At 33.0% G+C, this 22,926-nt stretch overlaps 1 protein-coding gene across 24 annotated transcripts in view; it reads left to right on the forward strand.

Annotated features, from left to right (window-relative positions):
• Positions 1–22,926, forward strand: part of DPP10 (dipeptidyl peptidase like 10) — a 1,403,140-nt gene that overhangs the window by 1,317,517 nt on the left and 62,697 nt on the right. For 21 of the 24 annotated variants that reach the window (NM_001321910.3, NM_001399849.1, NM_020868.6 and 18 more), the window contains 6 exon segments: positions 2,415–2,453; positions 8,140–8,247; positions 17,051–17,142; positions 17,630–17,677; positions 20,717–20,838; positions 22,195–22,242. In NM_001321910.3, the coding sequence (NP_001308839.2) occupies positions 2,415–2,453; positions 8,140–8,247; positions 17,051–17,142; positions 17,630–17,677; positions 20,717–20,838; positions 22,195–22,242 (457 nt within the window). 24 annotated transcript variants of the gene reach the window in all.

Consider the following 22,926-nt stretch of genomic DNA (forward strand, 5'->3'; position numbering starts at 1 on the left):
TAGAGACTATTTAATTGTCCACTAACAGGAAATAGACTTTAAAGTAAGACTTATCTACACAATGGAATTCTACTTGGCCATAGAAACAAAATACTGATACGCTCAACAATATGAGCGAATCTCAAAAACAAGTGGTGTGGAAGAAACCTCACACTACAGAGTACATAATAGGTATGTAATGCATGATTTCAATTATCTGATTTTCTAACACAGGCATATGCTGTCTATGGGGAAAAAGATCAGAAGTGATTGCCTTTTGAGAACCTCTGGGGAGGAGCATGAGTTAATGTTTTGGGGAAAAATAAAGATCCTATAACTTGATGGGATAAACTTGTCAAACTCATCACATTATACACTTAAAATCTGTGCATTTCACTATATGTGAAAAATTTAAAACATATTATTTAAATGGTCTGTGAAGGAGAGCCCTCAAGAGGCAGACATTTCTCTTTGAGTAGAATGATGAGCATAGTCGTGGAAATGAGATAGTTAAATCAACCACTTGATGCTCTTCTCATTAAGCTTGTATTACTAGAAAATTCATCTCTTTCTTTTGGCTAGATTATAGATTGACTAGAATTTCTCCACGTATTTGTTAAAGTGTTCTGGATGGTTTTTATTCGGCTGATTAGTAAGTCATTTAAAAATTGGCCTACAGGCCGGCTGTGGTGGCTCATGCTTGTAATCCCAGCACTTTGGGAGGCCAGTGTGGGCAGATCACCTGAGGCCAGGAGTTTGAGACCAGCCTGGCCAACATGGTGAAACCCTGTCTCTACTAAAACTACAAAAATTAGCCGGGCATGGTGGCACACGCCTGTAATACCAGCTACTCAGGATGCTGAGGCAGGAGAATTGCTTGAACTTGGGAGGCAGAGGTTTCAGTGAGCCGAGATCGGGCCACTGCACTCCAGCCTGGGCAACAAAGCAAGACTTTGTCTCAAAAAAAAAAAAAAAAAAAAAGGCACAGGCCAGGCATAGGTAGCTCACACCTGTTATTCCAACACTTTGGGAGGCCAAGTGGGGAGAATGGCTTGAGGCTGAGTTCAAGACCTACCTGGGCAACATAATGAGACACCATCTTATTTTTACATAAAAAATTAAAGTAAAAATTTAAAAATTAGCCTACATATATTGTAGTTAGAGAAAGCCCTTCTAGACAAAGATACTGTAAATATTTCATTGCATACAGATAACTGCAAAGATAAATTAAAATGCTTTAATAGAAAATAGATCCAGTAATCCTATCATACTATTGATCTGACACCTTATTGATATTGTATTTTATTCTACGTATGGAGATAAAAAGACTTTGCATTCTGTTAATTGAAATAATGAGACAAACAATAACAAATGAAGTTTTGAGCTCTCAGGGGTTCTACCAAAACTTGGTGGTACTAACAAGCAGTGGCATTGGTATCTATTTTATTTCTGTGCTTTACAGATATCAAGAATGGTTAATGCTAGGGTGTAAATGGAGAATAAAGAAATGATTCAGTTAGATTTTTTTTGATATCTTCACGTAATGAAGATCTATTGAAAAAAAAAGTGCCCTGAAAAGAGAAAGTGACCAATTATAATGTAATCATAATATGGATTTAGAAAAAGAAATTAGTATTTAAAAACATATAAATAATTTATTATTAACAATTTGAGATGGGTACCTCTGCATATAGGAAAGCCCCTAATATGTTGTTACTTATCTTTCTTAATTTGAATACGTTTATTATAGAATCATTTCTTTCAGAAAACTGCAAGATATTTCATGTCATTACATGTAAACGGTATTATTAAAGCTTGTTTTTTCTACACATATTTAACGAGGTTAAATTAGTCTAATTTTGCTTTTTGCAATATGATTTTGGCTCTGATCTACTGCAAGACTGTTTTGAAGGGACACATAATTTTGTCATTTCAAATGTTTGATATTTTTTCTCAAAGACTGAGTTACTACTGATAAGAAAAAAAGAAGGCCATGATTATGAGTGAATTGAATATTGAAAGAATGTCCACTTTTTAGTTTTATTCCTGGCTGTTTGCCCAGTTGCTTTGAAGGACTTAATAATTTTGTCTCCCAATGATGCCTAGAGGTGAAAAGAGACAGTGTCTGGTGGTTCAAAACAGTTGAATGAGGTAATCAAACAGAGCTGGAAAATGATCTTCTCTCCCTGGTGAGGTACTGCTGGGAATTCTGAAAGAATTCACCAAAGAAAAGACTTTATAATTAAATTATCGTTTAGTCCCTATTCTCTACTTACTCATTCAGATTAAATCAATAATGACAATGAAATCTCTCATGGTGTTTCACCAGTTGAAGAGAGGGAAAAAAAACTGATAACCGTGTTTTAAAAAAGTTAAATTTATATATGCTCATTTTGGTCTTTAGATGCTTCATGGAGTTAATTGTTTTGTTTCAGAAATATGAGATGACATCAGATACGTGGCTCTCTCAGCAGGTACAGTATAGGTGGTCTGTCACATCTTGGCCATTGTGACCATCCTGTTCACCCATTTTTTATGTGATAACTTTCTGTAAAAAGTATGAGTTTAAGGCTTTGCTAGGTTTGACAGAGTGATCCTTTTTCATTAAAAGGATCACTTATGACTTGGGCTTTCTATGGTATCATTTGTGAAAAGGTTACTTCCATTTTTTTAGGAGACATAAATTGCAGAGTAGCTGCCAGGATCACTTTTTAAAATATTCTGTGTAAGTACACTCTTGTGTAGATGAAGGAGAAAAACTCAGGACCTAACCAAACTAGAAATCATTAGCATTGTTCAAATTGTCTGAAAAATTGACCTGACCTTTACATAAATTGATCATGGAGATATTCAAATAAATACTTCTCTTCTTAGTTGTATTCTAGCTCACAATTCTAGTTTGTGACATAAATGAGGCTGGAATCAAGATGAACATGACGGACTAAAAACCTAATCACTGTTACATGGTCTCATCCTGGACAATTCAGAAGGAAACAACACAAATAGCTTATTTAAATATAGCTGAATTCATTTTACTCTTAACTACATTAGTGAGTTTTGCAAAGGGAAATAAGATGTGTGGTATGGTTTGGTTTGGTTTTCTTTTTGTTCTTTAAAGCCCTCTTTTATTTTATATTACGTCTATGGCGTTAATGACCACCCATATTTTGAGACCTTCACATTTATCCAGACACTTCAGTGAGTTCTGAAATATCCAAATTTATGCTTGCCATCTCCTCCTAAATCTGTAAAAGTAGCTTCATACTCCCCAGGTCTAAGCTGAACTCATTCCTTTTCTAGTCAGTCTTCTTAATTTTTATCTTAGGACTCAATGACATAATTATCCATTCAGATGTTAAAACTATTTACCTAATAGTCATCCTTGAATCTTTTCTCATTTTTATCTATCTATATATAATTAATATGTACAGATTTTACTTTCAAACATCTCTCAAGTCAATTTACTTTTCTCTAATTCACAAACACTGTCCATGTTCGAACTACAGATCCAGCAAGTCTCAACCCCTCAGGCACCTGCCAATCTGTTCACACTGCAGGCTAACTGAGTGACCTTTTTAAAATATGCATTTAATTGTTGCTACTAACATTCCCCTCATACTTGCACTTCCACAACTCAAAGAACTTTTCTCTCTTCTTTCTGTCCTTCAGATAAAGACCAACATCCTTAAAAGGTCCACAAGGGATTAATTGAAAGCTTTTTCAGCTCTGAGTCATAGAATCATTTGATCTGTTTTCTCCAGTCTAGCTACATGGACCCTCATATGCACAGGGACTTCATAAGTGCCCTTCCTTCTGAACAAAATTCCCTCAAACTTTCTTATATGAAGCCTATTTATTTTTCAAACCTTGGCTTAAATCACCTATGTAAGAAGTCACTTCCTCTAACTAGCCTAACCAAATCACATCTCCCAATAAAAGTTATATTAAAGTCAAGTGTAATCTTTGTGTAACACACAATTATTGCTATGATTTTTTTTTTTGCTAAGATACAAGGACATGAGGATGTTTTTTACTTCTAATTGTAAACCAAACGCCTAGTATAGAATTCAATATGTAAGAATTCAATATGTAAGAAGAGCTTAATAGATACTTACTGAGTGATTAAGAAGAAAAGTAAAAAGGATTATAAATAATTGTTTGTCTGAAGGGTAGGTAGATGGATAGACACAGATAAATGTTTGTATATATATTACGAGTATATGTGTCTTTGCACATGGTTATCTATTAATATAAATACTTTTATCTTGGTCAATGTACAAAATAAAATAGAAAAAAAACCCTGATTTTACAGCTAATAATAGACTCACAAATTTCGGTTAGATACAGAAAATAAGAACAATGGACAATATATAACACATAATACTTATGCATTCTGAATTTCCCTCCATTATTAAACATCTTTTGCTATTACTTTGATTGCCAGTGACATTCATAATAGTTTAACATATGTCAACATAATGCATGTTCTTTTGAGATTATGCTATCTAATTTTTAAATCCCAAATTTATGAATGTTTAATAGAAACTTTTTTAAAAAACAAAGCATCCAGTTATTAATTATTCAGTTAGTAAATGCCATTGGTCGTTTATCACAGTTGATTTTTTTCTTCAGATGCTCTAAGGGAATTTTATGAAATACTTAGAGTTATATGAAATTTAATGTATGAGCATGGTAGCAGTAATAAGAAGCAGCAAATTTCTAAGATAATTATAAATTTAATAGAATCATCATATACTGTCTTTTTGCATAGCAGAAAAGGCAAAGAGAAGTAGGCATGTTTAGCCTAGCTTTCAAAGGACTTGCAATTGAGATGACCAGTGTGTAATATATTTGGTCAAGGGAATAGAGTCCAATATCCCCAGCTTACCATCTTGTGTGTCAAAAACACTGACTTGTATAATGTCATGAAACTGAGCAGTGAGATTGGCACCATCTGTGTGGAGCTGAATGTTTATCACCAGACATTGTCAAGTGTTGGGGGCAGATTTTTTAGTCCAGCAAGGCATATGAGATTGTAGCCCCCATCTATTCCTTTTCTGAACTACTTCTAAGGTACTAGAACTGGGGAGGAGGCAATGTAAATGGAAGAATGCTTATATATCTGTATATGAGAAAAAAGCTATTCATCTTTTGATAGAAGTACAAAGGGAGAACGGTAAGGGAGGAGTTGCTATGTGGGGGTAAATCTGGTGGATAGAGTGATATATAAAACTAATATTTTTGTTCATGGTATCCATATATTCATCTATTCACCAATTATGAGTTGGGACCTACTGTGTCTTAGGCAATAGAGCTAAACAGATAACATTTAAAATTTAGTTCAATTATTAATTGCCTAGTGAAGGAAGCCAACAAGTTAATAGATCAATATAATAGAGTGCATTGGAAGCCATGATAAAGATGAAAACAAGATAGTTTTTAGAATATCTGAGGAGAGATTTCCTAACTAGGGAAATCTTGGAAATTCTTTTGTTTCATGAGAATAAGTAAAAAATGAGTAAGATTTAGCAGAAAAAGGAAGACGAAAAAGTTGTTCCAGACAAAAGAAACTCCAAGAGAGAAATATCCCACAGGAGCAGGTGATGGAACAAATAGAATTATTGACTTTATTATAGTTGAAAGAAGTGATTCACTCAGTCAAGTATTTTGTCAGTATCCATTATATGCTCAGTTATACAATTTTTCCAACCTTGAATGGTATATTATCTCAGAGTTTTAAATTTATTACATATGTTACTTATATTTTCATGAATGTTCATAAGGCAGTTAAGGAAAATATCCTTATTTTACTGTCAAGAGATGTATTGTGAATGAAGCTAAAATCAAACTGTTCAGTATATTAAAATAGTTATTAATTGACTGATTCATTCAGTAAATAATTATTGAGCTCAATTTACATGATAGTCACTGTTTCAGGTGCTGCAGATGCAGTAGTGAAAAATACAAGTTTCCTGCCCTATGGGGCTTACATTACAGAGAACTACATACATACATACATACATAAGTATGTAAATATGAGATTAGTGCAAAAGTAATTGAGGTTTTTGCCATTACACGGTAGGTCGCAACTCATAATTGATGAATAGATGAATGTATGGATACAATGAACAAAAATACTCATTATATATATGTGTGTGTGTGTGTGTGTGTGTGTATATATATATATATGTATATATATATGTATATATATATATATATCACTCTATCCACCAGATTTACCCCCACCATTAAAAGTAATGGAAAAAACCTCAATTAATTTTGCACCAATCTCATACATACATTTATATACAGTATGTACATATGTACATACATTCATATACATATTTTGCCATTAAGAGTAATGGTAAAAACCACAATTACTTTTGCACCAGTCTCATACATACATACATTCATATACAAACAAACGCATACATACACAAATTATACGTTGAATGGTGTTAGTTGCTGTATTAGTCCATTCTTGTACTGCTATAAGAGACCAGGTAATGTATGAAGAAAAGAAGTCTAATTGGCTCACAGTACTGCAGGCTGTACAGAAGCATAGTAGTTATTGCTTCTAGGGAGGCCTCAGAAAGCTTCCAGTCATGGCGGAAGGCAAATGGGGAGCAACACTTCACGTGGCCTGAGAAGAAGCAAGAAAGGGATGGGGGAGGTGTTATACACTTTTAAACAACCAGGTCTTGTAATAACTCATTCACTCACTGTCATGAGACAGCACCCAGCGGTTACTGCTAAACCATTCGTGAAGGACTCACCCCCGTGATCCAGTCACCTCCCACCAGGCCCCAGCTCCAACACTGGGGATTTCAATACGACATGAGATTTGGGTGGTACACAGATCCAAACTATATCAGGTGCTATGGAAAACTAGAAAGAAAATAAAAGGAGATGAAGGATGTCAGATAGAGTTGGATGGTCTGACTTTCCTGATCTCGCTTTATATAGGGTAATAAGGAAACACCTTATTGATAAGGAGATTTCGGATTAGAGACCTGAAAGAGATAAGAGGAAGATCCAGACCAAGGGAATACAAAGTACAAGAGCCCTGGAGCAGGATCATGCAGGAACCCAGTGAAGAAAGCAAGAGAATGACAAAGATGAGATCAGAAAGACAGTAGAGGGCCAAGTCATCTAAAAGGGCTTGAAGGCCATTGTGCAGAGCTACTCAGGACCCATATCAAAGCCTTTCTTTATACCATATATAACCACCTCTCGTTAGTCCAGCAGGAAAAACTCAATGTTTCATCAGATAAATGTGTTTTCTTAATGTTTTTCCTGAAGAAAGAGCAGTATCTCTCTCTCTCTACATACATATATGTGTGTGTGTGTGTGTATATATATATACACATAGTGTGTGTGTATATATATACATAAATATATATAGTGTGTGTATATATACACACACATAAATATATAGTGTGTGTGTGTATATATATATGTGGCTTTCATCATTTAATTTTCAAAAATAATTCTATTGATTTAATGTGCCACCAGAGTGTAATTAAAAATTATCAAATGGGGTCACAGTTGTAGGTGGGCATTTGTGTTTGTGTGTTTGTGGAGAGATGAGCAATAAGGATGGTAAATTTGAATTAAATAACTTTCTATAGAATCCTTTCAATTTCGTGGCCTGTCGTCTTTTGTATTTTCAGTTAATTTATGAATACATTATCAGAAAAGAATCTTCAAGTAAGTACAGTTGCTGAAGAAAGGATTTCAAAAAATATGTTACAGAATTTTGTAATTAAAAGATTTATTTTGATAAACTGATGCAGATGTTTGCATGTTCTTTATCTTTGAAGGATATTTCACTAAACACAATCTTATGTGAAGATATGACAGTTCTTGTTTGAACCAATTTAAAAAGTGTCTTTAGTCTGATAATAAATCATTCATATCCACCATGCACAAATTTCTCCTATCCTTCCCACAACTCAACCACATACATATGTAATGTATCAGATTTACTTTAAAAAAGTTTAAAAAATAGCATACATTCATTTTTTTAAAATAATGTGCCCATTTTCCTAACTAATTATAAATCAATATTTGGTATAACCCATGCAGGAATTAACAGTAGTAGGCAGCACAGATTGCATGTGCCTTTCTGAGATTGTTCTGTGCTCTTCTGTATTTTAGAATGAGGAGCCCGTGTTTTCTAGAGACGGCAGCAAATTCTTTATGACAGTGCCTGTTAAGCAAGGGGGACGTGGAGAATTTCACCACGTAGCTATGTTCCTCATCCAGGTAAGTGCTGGCTTTTTTCCATGTTTTGATTTCATTGTCCTCATGTCCCCGAAGGCCCAGTTCTTGTGGCATTCTAAACCTCTAGTTCATGGTGGTGAAACCCAGCCATATATACAACTCACAGACATCTTAGGAAGAGGACCTCCATCCATAGCCATACATTCAAGCCTTACCTTCCCACAAAACAGTCTCAACACTCAGTACAATTTAATGAGTTACATGTGTGTCCTATGAACTGAGGGCTTTGGGATAGAGAATTTAATAAATTAAAAGCACCCAACTTTTGAGGACCTGAGATAATCTAGAGAAGATTTTTTATTCAATGAACATATATATAACCTATTTTGTACAAGTAATATTCTCCAGGTGTTATAAAAGTTTTAAATACTCAAAGGAACCTAAATGTCCATCAAAAATTGATGGTTGAATAAATTATGGCACATCCCCACAAGCAAATACAGTGCAGATTTTTAAAAAACAGGATAAAATAGATGTTTTATGTTAAATAACATAGATTTCATGTTGTAAAATATAATCTATGTTTTTTTTTTAGACTTTCCGATAAAAAGAGGGGAAAGGTTACTTTTTATCTAATCAAAAGAATATGAAGGGTTTATACAGTTTTATTATAAAAAAATTAGTAAATTCAGGTAGTTAGTTTAAATTTGACAAGGTTATTGAGTCAATCTGAATTTAATTTCCAAGAGCAAGCATACATGAGAAAATAAAGCATCCTTCAAAATCATATAATAAATAATCTAGTCTCACACACAGGTTAAAGGCTTTCTAATGAAAAGTCACTGTGGCTAAACTGGGATCTTCATGAGTGTTTTACAAACTAGCTAAGAGTAATTTCATACTTACAAAATATAGAATAAATATAAATATGGCAAAGATACCTAACTGACCTTACTAATTTTATGTTTTTAGAACCTTTAAGACCTGTGCACATTCTCAAATGATTACCATTATCCATATACATTTGTATTGGACAGCTTAATGCTTTAGAGTCTCAAAATCTTATGTCACTAATTTAAAATTTAAAACTTGTTCAGGGTCTGTGTAATTAAAATAGTTGTCATTGTTTTAACTTTAATTTTAATTACGACTGAAAGAAATAATTTGGAATACATACAATTTCCACAGTACAGATGTAGATTGATTTTCATAGTATATTATTAAGGTGGAAAAACAGGTTATAAACTAATGTATAATGTGATCCTATTTATGCTCTAAATAAATGCATTTATAGATGCATTTATATATGCATTTATAGATGAATAAAATTTTGGATGTTTTTATATCTAGCTATTAAAATGATTATATAAGTCAGGTATAATTAAGGGAACTTTTTTTATGAAACTGAAAGGAAATAGACTAGCAAATTACTTTACTTTATAAACTTTTGCTAATTAAGAGTCAACTTGGTTATCACAAATATTAGAGAACTATTTTGGCCCCTAAAATATCACACTTCCCAAATCTTATAACTGATTATGACATTTCATTGAATTTTTAAATTTCAGTATTTTATATTCTAGAAGCTCTGTGAAAAATATAAGTAGTAAAGAAGATTACCTACAAATTATAGATATTTGTAAGAGATAGTGAAGGATAGGAAAAGTTGTACGTCTTTGTGTATGTAATTCCCCAAAGAAGACAATCTATCCTTGACTGTAGGTACCCTGCTGTGCTTTCAAATGCTAGATCTTACCCATTCTATCTACCTATATTTTTGTATCCATTATTCAACAAATAAATAATAGAAATAATGTCTTTGTAAAAGTATGGCGTTGGGTAGGGTTGTGATGTTGACATGCAGGAATTAAAATATTTATACACCCAAACCAAGAATTTTTTTATAAGCCTAGGGAAGAAATACCTTCTGTTTCTCAGTCAAACCAGCCTAATATGTAGGCAAATTCCTGTATTTCTGAAATGTTCAGAAGAAAAACTTAATAAAGTTCTTACATTGTGTTTACTTTGTTCCTCTTCTATATAGGGACTATAACACAGCCTTCATTGAAGTAGAAAACATTTTTTTTCTATTCTGGTTGCTGTTTAGGTAATTTGTGGTTTGCCTCATTGAGAAATGAACATGACTGCATGATTATTTATGAATATTTTGGCAATTGATTAAAATTAGTCTACTTTGCTAATGAGTCAGAAGTCAGTGCTAGGTAAATACAATTTATACATAACTTTGAACACACACAAACACAATCACATATGTTATTTTAGGAAATGGTTTGAATCACCTTGCCTCAATTTAAAAATAGCTAACAAAAAAGCTATTTATGAATTGTGTATGACTGCTTAATTGACATATATGCACTATAAAATTCTGAAAAATTCAAACTTAATAAACTGATAAAGGAGTATATAAAAATCACCCACAATATCATCACCTCATATTCTCACACTTTTAATCCATTATTGTGTATATTTTACATTCTTTTTTCATGAGAAATATATGATTTTCCCCTAAAGATTGCAATTAAAGCATAATATAGATTTGTAACATTAAAAGAATAACTAATGAGTGTTTTCTTACAACATTTAATTGTATTCCTAATATTTAACATTTTATATTTTTCTTAAATGTGATTTTAATAGCTGCTCAGCATTACAGCAAGCAGATATACTGTACTGTATTTATTTATTTATTTATTTATTTATTTATTTTTTGAGACAGAGTCTCAGTTTGTTGCCCAGGCTAGAATGCAGTGACACGATCTCGGCTCACTGCAACCCCCTCCTCCCAGGTTCAAGCCATTCTCCTGCCTCAGCCTCCCGAGTAGCTGGGATTACAGGCACCCGCCATCATGCCTGGCTAATTTTTGTATTTTTAGTAGAGGCGGGTTTCACCGTGTTGCCCAGGCTGGTCTCGAACTTCTGACATCAGGTGATCCACCTGCTTCAGCCTCCCAAACTGCTGGGATTACAGGCATAAGCCACCACGCCCGGCCTGTACTGTATTTAAATGATCCAAGTTTATTCATCATTAAAGTTATTTCTATATTTTGATGTTAGAAATGATTCAGAGTTAAAAGCCCTTATAAACACTTTACTTATAATTCTTCCCGCAAAATTATATTTCTAGATGTTAAAAGATACCCAGGCAGGGTATATCCATACGAATGTATTTGTTTAGGTTTTGATGTGTAATGCCAAATTGGCTCTCCAAAAAATAGTACAAAAATTTACTGCCTAAACAGTAATGCATGCCAGCATTGATGACTTTTTACCCCCTTTCCTTCCCTTGCTGTGCTACATGATTCTACTTAAAGTTGTCGTGCCTGAAAAGTGAGAAATGACAGGACTGGGGCCTTGGCAGCCAACAGTCAGCCAGGTCACCTTTGCAGTACTTGGCGCTTACCTATGTTTGAGAGCTTACTAGTTCACTCAGAATATATTTATTTGCTTGAAGTACCTTACTAAATGAAATTACTAAATTTTTGCAAACATTTTGCTCTCTCATATTATCAGTAAGTAGATAAAAATCATTAATTAGAGACCAAGCTAGACAATTATTGATTTCAAGCTATTTTCATTATGGAGAGTGATGGCGGTCACTACATATATTTTAGTGGGTTTTTTTTTTTCCTCATTTACAAGAGCTGTCCTTGTTAAAGTGATTCCAAAGGATACAAATAAAAAGAGAAAAGAATGCATGTGTTTTCCTCCAGTCTTCATTTAAACATTATTGTAATTTTATGTAAACTACAGTATTGCATCCTGATATGTCAAATTTAAATTTTAAATGCACACTTTTCCCACAATGCTAAATAATTTTGAAAAATAATTCTTTAGAAGATTAATATTGAGTTGACTGGATGTGCATCAATAACCATTATTTGTTGTTCTGTGTTTAATTTAGTGGCAATTTGTTGTAATGATAGATGTCACTGTATATAAAGCTTATTTATATTGTGGATTATTTCTTTAGTATTGATTAACAAAACTGGAATAGCTGGACCAAAAGTAAAAGATTTCTAAGCCCTAATATATGTATTTCCAGATCACTTTCAGTATGAATATATGAAAGCAAAATTTGTGAGTGTTTTCTCCACTTTCATATATTCCATTAAAGAAAATATTAAATAAAACTATGGCTTTTCTGGAAATCTATATAGCTAAAGAAACTGTTCTTCTGGATAGAGTGTTTTGTACACGTATTACTATCAGTTTATGTACTTCCTGAGTCATACACTGATACAAAACCTTTTACCCCAGACCATTAAACTTTTGATCACTTCAGATATTCGCCCCTTTGCCCCTTGAAAAATATTTGTTATGTTGACTTCAAACTTCTGAATTCTCATCTCAGGAACTGTAACATTCTACATCCTGCAATTCAGGCTGCAGTGAAGAGATAGGTTTTTATCAAAGGTATAGCACCTTTTTCTCTCAAAGATGGAGTAAGCAGAATTTTCATTGTGTTCAGTCGTTCAGATTCATAGGCGTAAGGAATGGCCCTGTCACCTTCTAAAATTGTGTTAAATGAAAAATTATATGTGGGTGAATCCATTCACTTTCTCTATTCAGCAACACGAAGTTTTGCCCATGAGAGCTGATGATTTCACTTGGAACGATTTTAAGTGGCATTATTCACTACAAATACTGTGGAAAACAGCATGCCCCCAATCCACAATTTTATCACCTAATCAACCCAGTAAAATTTTTGCATTAAGTTTCACTGCTGCATCTGATTAGGACATTGTCTGAAAACAATGAGCTCATCTCATGTGGTGAATAGATGGCAAATTAAAGCATGCTATTTTTAAGCACTACAATATTTCCCTTATTTAGAAACTATAAAAGTGAACATTTAATATAAGAAATGTGAATGAATAATGTGTAATTAGGTAAAAAGAACATGCAGGGTTAAACTTGTATTGATACCCAATGTGTTTCCAATTTGTAAATCGCATTATAAAACCAATATTTAACTTCCTTGAGCAAGATAAAATCTCTATGAATTGAAGGTCACTTGTCTGGTGTCTAATGCTCCAAATAAACACTCTATTCCAAATTTCCAGCCCTCTTTTAAGAATGAATGAGCTCACGACTTTTGTTGCTTTTTAGTCTGAAATTAAAGTTGAAATATTAGTTCAATTTAAAATACATTGTCATACTGCCTTTATCAAAAGTCTACTACAGTTTTATATTTATATTCAGTATTTCTATTCTACCAAGTTAATATTGCAGAGATTATGGATTCACAGAAACAAAGAAATGTTATTGTAGAGAAAAAATGCTGTTCTTTCCTGCTTTGTTAAGTGATCTTTCCTGTGATTGCATTTCTGCTGAAGGTGCTTAAAAACCTAACTGAAGTACAAACATCCCCTTGTGAAATCTGCTCAAATACTGTGATATTTATTAAGTGTTGTTCAGTCATCTACCATATTCTGATTGGTATTAAGATTATTAGCCAGGTCAAAATTAATGTGCTCACTGCTGTGACAGTCTTATGTAGATTATTAGAAAGTAAATCTTTGCTATTATATGCAAAATGAGGGTTCAACTTGTTCCCCATACCATATTTGCCCTGGTAGATTAAAAGCAAGCAAGGCAATTACAGCTGTTTCAAATAAAATCAAAAGGTTATATGGTTGTTATTAAGGCTTCCAACAAGAGATCTTTTGGTCCTACACTTGAAAGTGTAATATTTTGAACTAAAAGGATCATTGAAGTAAATCATATATAATATTTTTTATACTGTGTTCAAACATTTTTCAAAGCATTGGGTTTTTACTCATGGCAATTTTAATGTTGTATCTCATTTGTCTTTAAAACACACATACACACACACACACACACACACACACACACACCAAAATACTCTGAAAAACAGAGAAAATAATTAACCTAGAAATCTGTGGGCCAAAAGTGTCTCCAGATGTTTTCAAATATTGAGCAAAGTTTCTTCACTTTTTTAATGTTTTGAGATTATTTTATCTTGAAATTGGCATCAAAGATGCACTAAAACCTTGAAATTTTAGTATCCTGTCCTTGGCTCATTCAAAGCAGGGCCTGGAAACAAGAAAGAGGAGCTATCCACTGAGTTATTTGCCTGTGTGAACTTGGCAATAAAATGTATGACTTTAGAACTCTGTGCCAGCCTTTGGGTTATGCAGTTCTCATATCTCACAAATTGGGTGTCTTTGCACTTATACCTCTAGTCAACAAATACTTGTAAATCAGTAGTACGTCAGATAGTATACAAAGAAGTTGATATAAAGAAGTCACAGGCTTGCTGTTGACCTTAAGCAGCTAGACGTCTAGAGAACTTCCACTAAGAACATAAAATAGACTACTTAGGGAGATATTGAAATGCAAATACATACCAATAAGACAGAAAATTTTTCAAAGGAAGATTCTGTTAGTACACATGTGCAGTAAAGTATGGAATGCCCTTTTAGTTTACACTTTCAGTTGTGTGGGAAAATAGATGTTATAATAAAACTATCCTATATGAACCTAATTCTGAATTTATTTTTACCAAAAATGCATTGAAAGCATTACTCAGCTGACAGATTACACTCTCTGAAGACAATGAAATTGAATTGCACAAATAACAACATTTAAAAGGTTATACATTTGGAAACAAAATATAATTTCTATTCATAGTTTCAAGAAGAAATCAGCAAACACTTAGAACTAAATGAGAATACTACATATACGAAAATATGCAATACATATAAACAACAGTTTTTAATATATGCAATAATTTTATATGCATATATGAAATTATGTATATATCCAATGTCAGAATTTAGAAAAGGAAGAGAATAAATTCAAATGTAAAAGAAAGGTAATTAGAAATGAAAGAATAGCACTTATTAATCTAGTAAGCAAACATGAAATAAAGCAGTATGATAAAACAAATAGTAAGTTATTTGGAAAAAGTAGTTGAATCTATAAGAGCTGTCAAGGGTAATAATAACTTGGACAGTTCCAAAGTATAAATAATGGAAAGGGACAAAACTACAGATTTTAAAAATATTAAAAGAATACTATGAATAACTTTACATTGATAAACTTGAAGTTTAGGAGAAATGGATGCAATCTAGAAAAAAAAATCAAATCAGATTTAAGAAACAATCAAAATCCTCCATAGTGTTAAGAAAATGGAATCAGTGATGTAGGATTTTCCACATCAGGGAAAGGTTGTTTTTAAAAGTGAATCTCACCAAATATTCTAGGAGTACGCACTTCCAATTTTATATTATTTTGAAAATGAAAAAATATGGCATGTCTTTAGTACAATTTATGACATGGGTATCATCTTGTAACCAACACGAAATTAAAACAGTATCAGAAAAGACAGTATAAGAAAGCTTAAAAATACTAAACCAATTATTGACAAGTTGACTTATTTAATGCATTTAAAAAATTAACTCTTATTTTTTGAACAGAAATGCAAAATTTACTTAAAATTTCAAAAATATGTAAGATAATTAACTGCATTTAAATTTTCCTGAGAAAATTATAATCACCTTAATAGATGCAGACATAGGATCCAAGTAAATTCAACAAAATCAGTATTCAAAAACCTTAGAAATTTAGGAATAAAGGGAACTTCTTTAAGGTGATGAAGGCACTTGCCAAAAGCTTTATTCATATAGCATAATTGATAATGGAGCAGTAGTAATATTCCCTTTAAAATCAGCACTGAGATAAGGAATCAGAGTGAAGTAGCTTGAGTATACACAACACTAGAGATAACAGTTGTTTTTGTTTTTAGCTGTTGTTGTTTTATACTTGAAGCTCTGGGGTACATGTGCAGAAGGTGCAGGTGTGTTACATAGGTATACACGTGCCATGGTGGTTTGCTGCACCCATCAACCCGTCATCTACATTAGGTATTTCTCCTAATGCTATCCCTCCCCTAGCCCCCAACCTCCTGACAGGCGCCATTGTTCAGCTCCCACTTATGAGTGAGAACATGCAGTGTTTGGTTTTCTGTTCTTGTGTTACTTTGCTAAGAATGATGGTTTCCAGCTTCATCCATGTCCCTGCAAAGGACATGAACTCATCCTTTTTTTACGGCTGCATAGTAGTCCATGGTGTATATGTGCCACATTTTCTTTATCCAGTCTATCATTGATGGGTATTTGGGTTGGTTCCAAATCTTTCTAATCCATTCTAATCAGTGTTCTCTAACTACATAAAGTGGTTAAGGAATAGAATGATAGTATTTCTAAGAATACTTTTTGGGTCAAACAATATATATTTTTTAGACAATACTACTACCTGTTTTTTACATATTAAAATGTTGGTCCTATAAACACCTTGGAAGCATTGATTAAGCTAATTACCTTCATCAACATGAATTCATCTCTGAAAAAAAATTATTGCATTAAATGGCAAATCTTATAACAATGCCCATACTGCAAAGGTTAAAATGAATACAAACCTGAGTATTTATTGGAGTAAAGTTTGTTCTAAAATGTTTTTTTTTTTTAAAGCTAACTGTACAGCTGCCAGTCATTTACATGAGAGTGATTAAAGTCCTACCTTGGAAGCAAATGCTGCCATCAACATGGTATACTTGATTCACCCTCACCTGGAGGAGTTTTCTGAATGACTTTTCTATAGTTGAAATGAAGGCACTAACCTACCTGCCTTGATCTGTGTTTATAGGAATGCATGTTCATTCTTGAGCTGTGGAACAGAAAACTGAGTGTTAACTGAGAATTAGAGAATTCGAAGTGTCACAAGCAGTTGGTACATTCGTGTTTACCAGAGAGATGCTGTTTAAATGAAAGGAAAATCAATATTTTCTATTTCTTTGCAGAGTAAAAGTGAGCAAATTACCGTGCGGCATCTGACATCAGGAAACTGGGAAGTGATAAAGATCTTGGCATACGATGAAACTACTCAAAAAATGTGAGTGTTTTCAGTTCTCTAGTCAGGCTGCAAGTTAGCGTTGTCAAATGCCATCTTTTCTAATAGAATTATGTTTTGCTTACCATAGTCCTAGTCAAAACAAGCCAGCCATGGAAAGAATAACCTTTCTTTAAAGACCTCTTCCACACTTCACACAGAGACATCTTACACAGAGGGATGTGTGTGTGCACACGCACACACACACACATATACTCACACACAGTGATTGAGAGAGGTTATGAAAAAGGATGATTTTATCAGGGGAAAAAAATATGTTTCCTAGTTTGATCATAGCCCTGTGTTTGTATAGCAAAACAACTCCTGTCTGTATTTTGACAGTTTTAAAAATTCAAGTGAAGATTTAATGTGAAAATTCAGGTGAAGATTCAATGTGAATTCAGGATTCAATGTGACAATGTGACAAAATTCACAGATCACAAAAAATAGATCTGTGTCTAATGCTTGTGTTGTTTTCTTTCCTGGACAGTTACTTTCTGAGCACTGAATCTTCTCCCAGAGGAAGGCAGCTGTACAGGTAAGCAGTGTGCAAGGATCTCCTTACACAGATTGGCTTCTCAATGGCTATCTATGTAGCATAAGGAAGGAAAGGAAAAATTTGAAATGTCTTTTTCAACATGGCTAGGAAGAGCCAACTTTGCTGACAAAGCTTCACACTCTTGCACCAGTCTCTCCCTTGACAGGACTGGAGAAAATGGAGCCCTGCTTGCTCCTTCCTGCTCTGCAGCCTCCTTATTCTTTTCTTCACCTGCTTTTGCAGTTTCTTAATATCTTTTTTGTGGCTTATTTCTCTCAACTCTCCACATCAGAGAGATTTACGTATTTTCCCTCGTGCCTTCATCTTCTGCTAAGTCTCATTTTGAATTTTCAGTGCATTAATGTGGCACAGGTGAAATTTATTCTTGTACAATATAATGTTGTTGTGAACAGTTAGTCTAGTGTATCAAGCAGGAAGCTTTCCCTCTTTGTCTTGTTGTTCATAAAACCCAGTGAGATTGTTGCAGGAGGAGGCATCCTTATTTAAATAAGGAACGCTCATTGCTTGCTAAAATAAAGCAATATAGGGGAAAATAATTACATTTGTTCAATTTCCCAAATGCAAAACTATACTCAAAAAAAGGCTTAAGCTCACACCTATTTAGTATTAAAATGTCTCCTCACTCAGAGAGCTTTCACCAGGATCTCACAAAAATGACTTTTATTTTTGGCTGGCAAGCAACCTATTAATTCTAGACTTTATATACATGTTCTAATTTCCATTTCACAGATCCATTTTTAAAGTGTCAAAACTGCCATGACATATTCTCAGGGGAAATTCATCATGTTTTAAGAAGTGTCACCACTAATTCTTACCGAGTAGTACTGACTTTCCTTTGAGAGTAAAAATGCATGCTTAAAGTACCCCGACTTCCTCTGCATCACCCCCACACTCTTATTTATACACAATTTGCTTTCATCAGAAGCAACCTTGTCCTTTTAATCGCCTTTCTTAATACATCATTATTATAAGTTTATTCTCGTGGACCTCCTGGAACGCATGTTCTTAATTCTGACTTCCAGGAAGCAAAGCTATTCATATAGAGATAGTGATTTGAATTTTGGATTCGGGATCTTGATCAAAGTACTGGTCACTTTTTCTTTTGGTGACCTAAAGCTTATCTTTCTTGAAACATACATTATGATTGATATCGGTAGCCATAAACTGTAGCTTAGAGAGATAGAAACACTTTATATCTTATAAAACTCTCATTTTATAAAACTCAAAGAAAAATGACAGCATCAGAAGATTAGACTTGGTCAAGTTCAGCAAATGGAACTGCCTCAATCTTTCTTCCCATTATTAGTGTAAAATGTGATTTGAATCATAATGACTTCTTAGATTTGTGTGCTTGTCTTATCTCTCTAGTGACTGAGGCAGAACAGTCAATGTATCTCTGACATGTACTAGTGTAGTCGACAGTGTTACAAAGAAAATGTAGTAGCAATAAATTTTCCCTTAAATAGCTCATCAAATGCCAGTTGGCTTGACTGTAAGATAATGTTAGTGTTTGACCCAGAAAATGCAATCAATGTCTTGCCCAGGCTATAAAAATGATCACTGGTTGACTTAATATATGGCACTAGGCACCCCTGCAGGAGTAGGACTGCTACCGTAGTCATTGTTACTTTCTTTGTCTCAAAATTTGTGTCTCTTTATTTCAGCAATCTCATAATCTAAATAATGAGAAAATACCACATAAATCTCCAGGGAGCTTGGATCTAAAAGCTTTATGGAAGAGTAGAGAGAAAAAGGTTTTAAATCTTAGTATGTCACTGAATAGCTGTATGCAACTGGGATACTTTCTAAGCTTTTCTGTGGTGAAAATTGTACAATGTTGTGAATGTAATTAATGAAACTGAATTGTACACTTAGAAATGCTTAAAATGACAAATGTTATGTTATACAGGTTTAACCCAAATTTTATAAAATGAAAAAAAATGGCTATGGATATTTTATAAGTTATCATGAGTGAAACTAATATGATTTGTGCTTGGTATATATTGTTTTGAGTATTATAAGGAAATTTTTGGATTGTAATCATCTCACAGTGTTTCAAATATGGAATTGTGATTTTGTGAACTGTTTCTTGTAGCTGCCTTAACACCCCTGTTCCAATCCCCATACCTACAGCGTATTGCACATCAAAATCAACGTGAATATTGTTCATTTGTAAATATACGACCAAAAATCATGTTTCATTCCAAAATGAAATTGAGACCTTTTGTCTGATCAAGTTTTTCTAAAGGTATTCTCAACAGTGTTTTCATCCATTGACCTACCAAATTTTGCATTCAGACTTATTTATTAAATAAACAATTTGATAAATGAAATTTAATCTTATATTAATTTTTCAACTCCTGTAACCTTAAGCACCACTATTGTAAAATAAAGATGGTGATGACTCTTCTTTTTACCACCTCATTATGTCAAAGTGTGTATTGTTGTTAGTGTTATATGTGTTATAATACAAATGTAACTTTTTTAAAATCAGTAATTTTTCTGCAAGTAAATGATGGGGAAAATTTGGCACTGATACCAAATTCTAATGTTTAGAATGTTTAATTTAGAAAATCATGAGCTGGATTTTTTTGTTTGACTTGTGGAAATGCATATTCCTTCTTTCAATTAGTATGTATTAAACATTGAATAATCTCTGTGGGAAATTCCCTTTAAGACTTTACACAGAAATATCTATTAAAAATGCAAAAAACAGTAAGTTAATTTGAGTTCCATTGAAATCAGTTCTTTGTTTATAGCCATACATACAAGTGTACATATTACATACATAAAATAATACATAATTTTAATTTTAATAGATTAAGAAAAATGTGTATGTTTTAACATTACTAATAGAAGGTGACTTTTTATGTATATGGTGATTCATAGTTTACAGTGAACCTCTATGCAAGCACCGATGTAACTCCCTTGTTTATATTATATTTAAATATGAACACCACACATTCAAGTGCCTAGAATAGTAGCATTTCTATAATAACTTCCTTTTTCTTTCTCCAGTGCTTCTACTGAAGGATTATTGAATCGCCAATGCATTTCATGTAATTTCATGAAAGAACAATGTACATATTTTGATGCCAGTTTTAGTCCCATGAATCAACATTTCTTATTATTCTGTGAAGGTAAGATAATACATGAATTCTGATATAATATATTTTATTCATTGTATTTGGTCAATATCTGTTGGTATCAGCAACTATTACTCTAGATGATTTCATAATCTTAATTTATAAATTTTTGTTAATAGGATATACATTATATATAGACTTACTGAGATACAATTTTTTACATATTTTGTATAGAAATAAAAAATGAGAATAAGTCAATAAACATGCACACATAATTAATAAGTGCTATTTGAACATGAGCAACTTTAAAAGGTGAATAAATATATTTACATCAGCGAGGCCATGCCACAATCATAAACTAATTTACCTAGTCTTCAGAAAAAGTAATAGTCTAGTCTTCTTTTTAAAACAATGCTTTGGTTGTTAAGAGATTTAGGATCTATGGAAATTTAGGACCTGTGGAAATTGAATTCCCCTGCTTCAGAGTTCTTCAGTTCTGATCAATTACATTCACCATTATTACTTCTTCTATCTTGTAACAATATGCGTAGTCTTACATGTTTATACAGTATCTCTACAATATATTCATAGAAATCATTTTCCTTTTAATATGGTACTGTATTTTCCAGAGATTAAATAGAACTCATGTGTCCTCTTATAATATGAAGAGTTGAGTGCTACTACTGCAGCTGATATATTAAGCTGTCCTTTTTTAAGAGACAATGAGAGATATACCAAGACTTACTTTTTGACATTGTTTTTCTCTTGATATATGAAATGAAGTAATCAAAAAAGAAGTCCTTGTTTAATGACACCAGGAAAAAAAAATTAGTTTTAGATGGGATTCCTTAGAGAAGTGAAGTTTCAAGATAACTTTTTACAGTAACAAATTAGCTAGTGTATTTTAAATATTTGAAGATTATGGTTAACGTATTTTTAAATTAATATATAGTTACCACCCAATTTTAAACTTTTCTTATGGATGAACTATTTCCAATATGCGTGCTTTCTTTTTTTGGCTGAGTGGCAAATAGAATTTGATCTTGGATCAGTGGATGAGGGGTGAAAGGGTTGTGAATCAGCTTTGTGAACATCAGTGGCTAGTCTATAAAAGACTAGAGATAAAGAGAAAGCATGTAGAATTGGCTAAAAACATAGAAATATAGAACATTTGGGGGAAGAGAGAATCTTAACAATAATCTCTGCAAATAGTTTCCTTCTCATATATTCTTACCCTTCTGAATAAAACGCTTATAAATAGGAATGAAAGCTAGTTATCTGGTTTCTGTTTTGTTATGTTTTAACCACGAAGTGCTTCCATTTGGGGGGAAAAAACTATTATGTAAACTTTCTAATGATTATTACTTAGACATCTTTAAAAATATTTATACACATATTTTTAAATTCCAGGTCCAAGGGTCCCAGTGGTCAGCCTACATAGTACGGACAACCCAGCAAGTGAGTACACAAGAAGACAATTAAGAATAGTTATGGTTGGCATTAGTCTTAGACATCGTGTTATCTATTCTGAGTCATATCCTCTATAAATTCTTCTTCAAAAAATCCCCACCATGAGGAAAGCTGCGTGTATACCATCAACTTGACCTTATGTATGTAAGAGAAACAGTAAAGCAAGAGATATGAGCCATGTTACAGGTGGGAGGTGAATCTTATATGCCCGAAATAGGATATCTACTACCTAAGTCAAATAGAGTTATTGATGAAACAGGTACATTTTAGCTTACTGGCCTCTTAATGTTCTGGTTCATTCTTGCCTGGGCCTCACATAAGTTATTCCTCCAGAATAACCTTTTGAAGACATTTCAGAAAATTATGAAAAATGTGTTATTTTATATATTTTCTATCCTGTTTGTTCCAGATATCCAGGTTCTTCTAGTTTTGTATATGCACTTTTTCATTTATGAATTTATTCATTTGTATATTTGTTAGGTTTGTTAAGAGATCACCTACTTTTGTCAAACAATGTGACAGAGTCGGAGGGTACACTGAAAGAGTGTTTTGTTCAAGAACTTACAGTAAAGTAGATAAATAAATGCATGGTTGAGCTTATCTTAAAAATGAATAACCAGATTTCATCCTGCCTTCCTTTCTCTTTCCTTTCTTCCATGTTTGTATCCTTCT

This window comes from Homo sapiens, chromosome 2 (genome assembly GCF_000001405.40).
Source record: "Homo sapiens chromosome 2, GRCh38.p14 Primary Assembly".
Classification (NCBI taxonomy): Eukaryota; Metazoa; Chordata; class Mammalia; order Primates; family Hominidae; genus Homo; species Homo sapiens.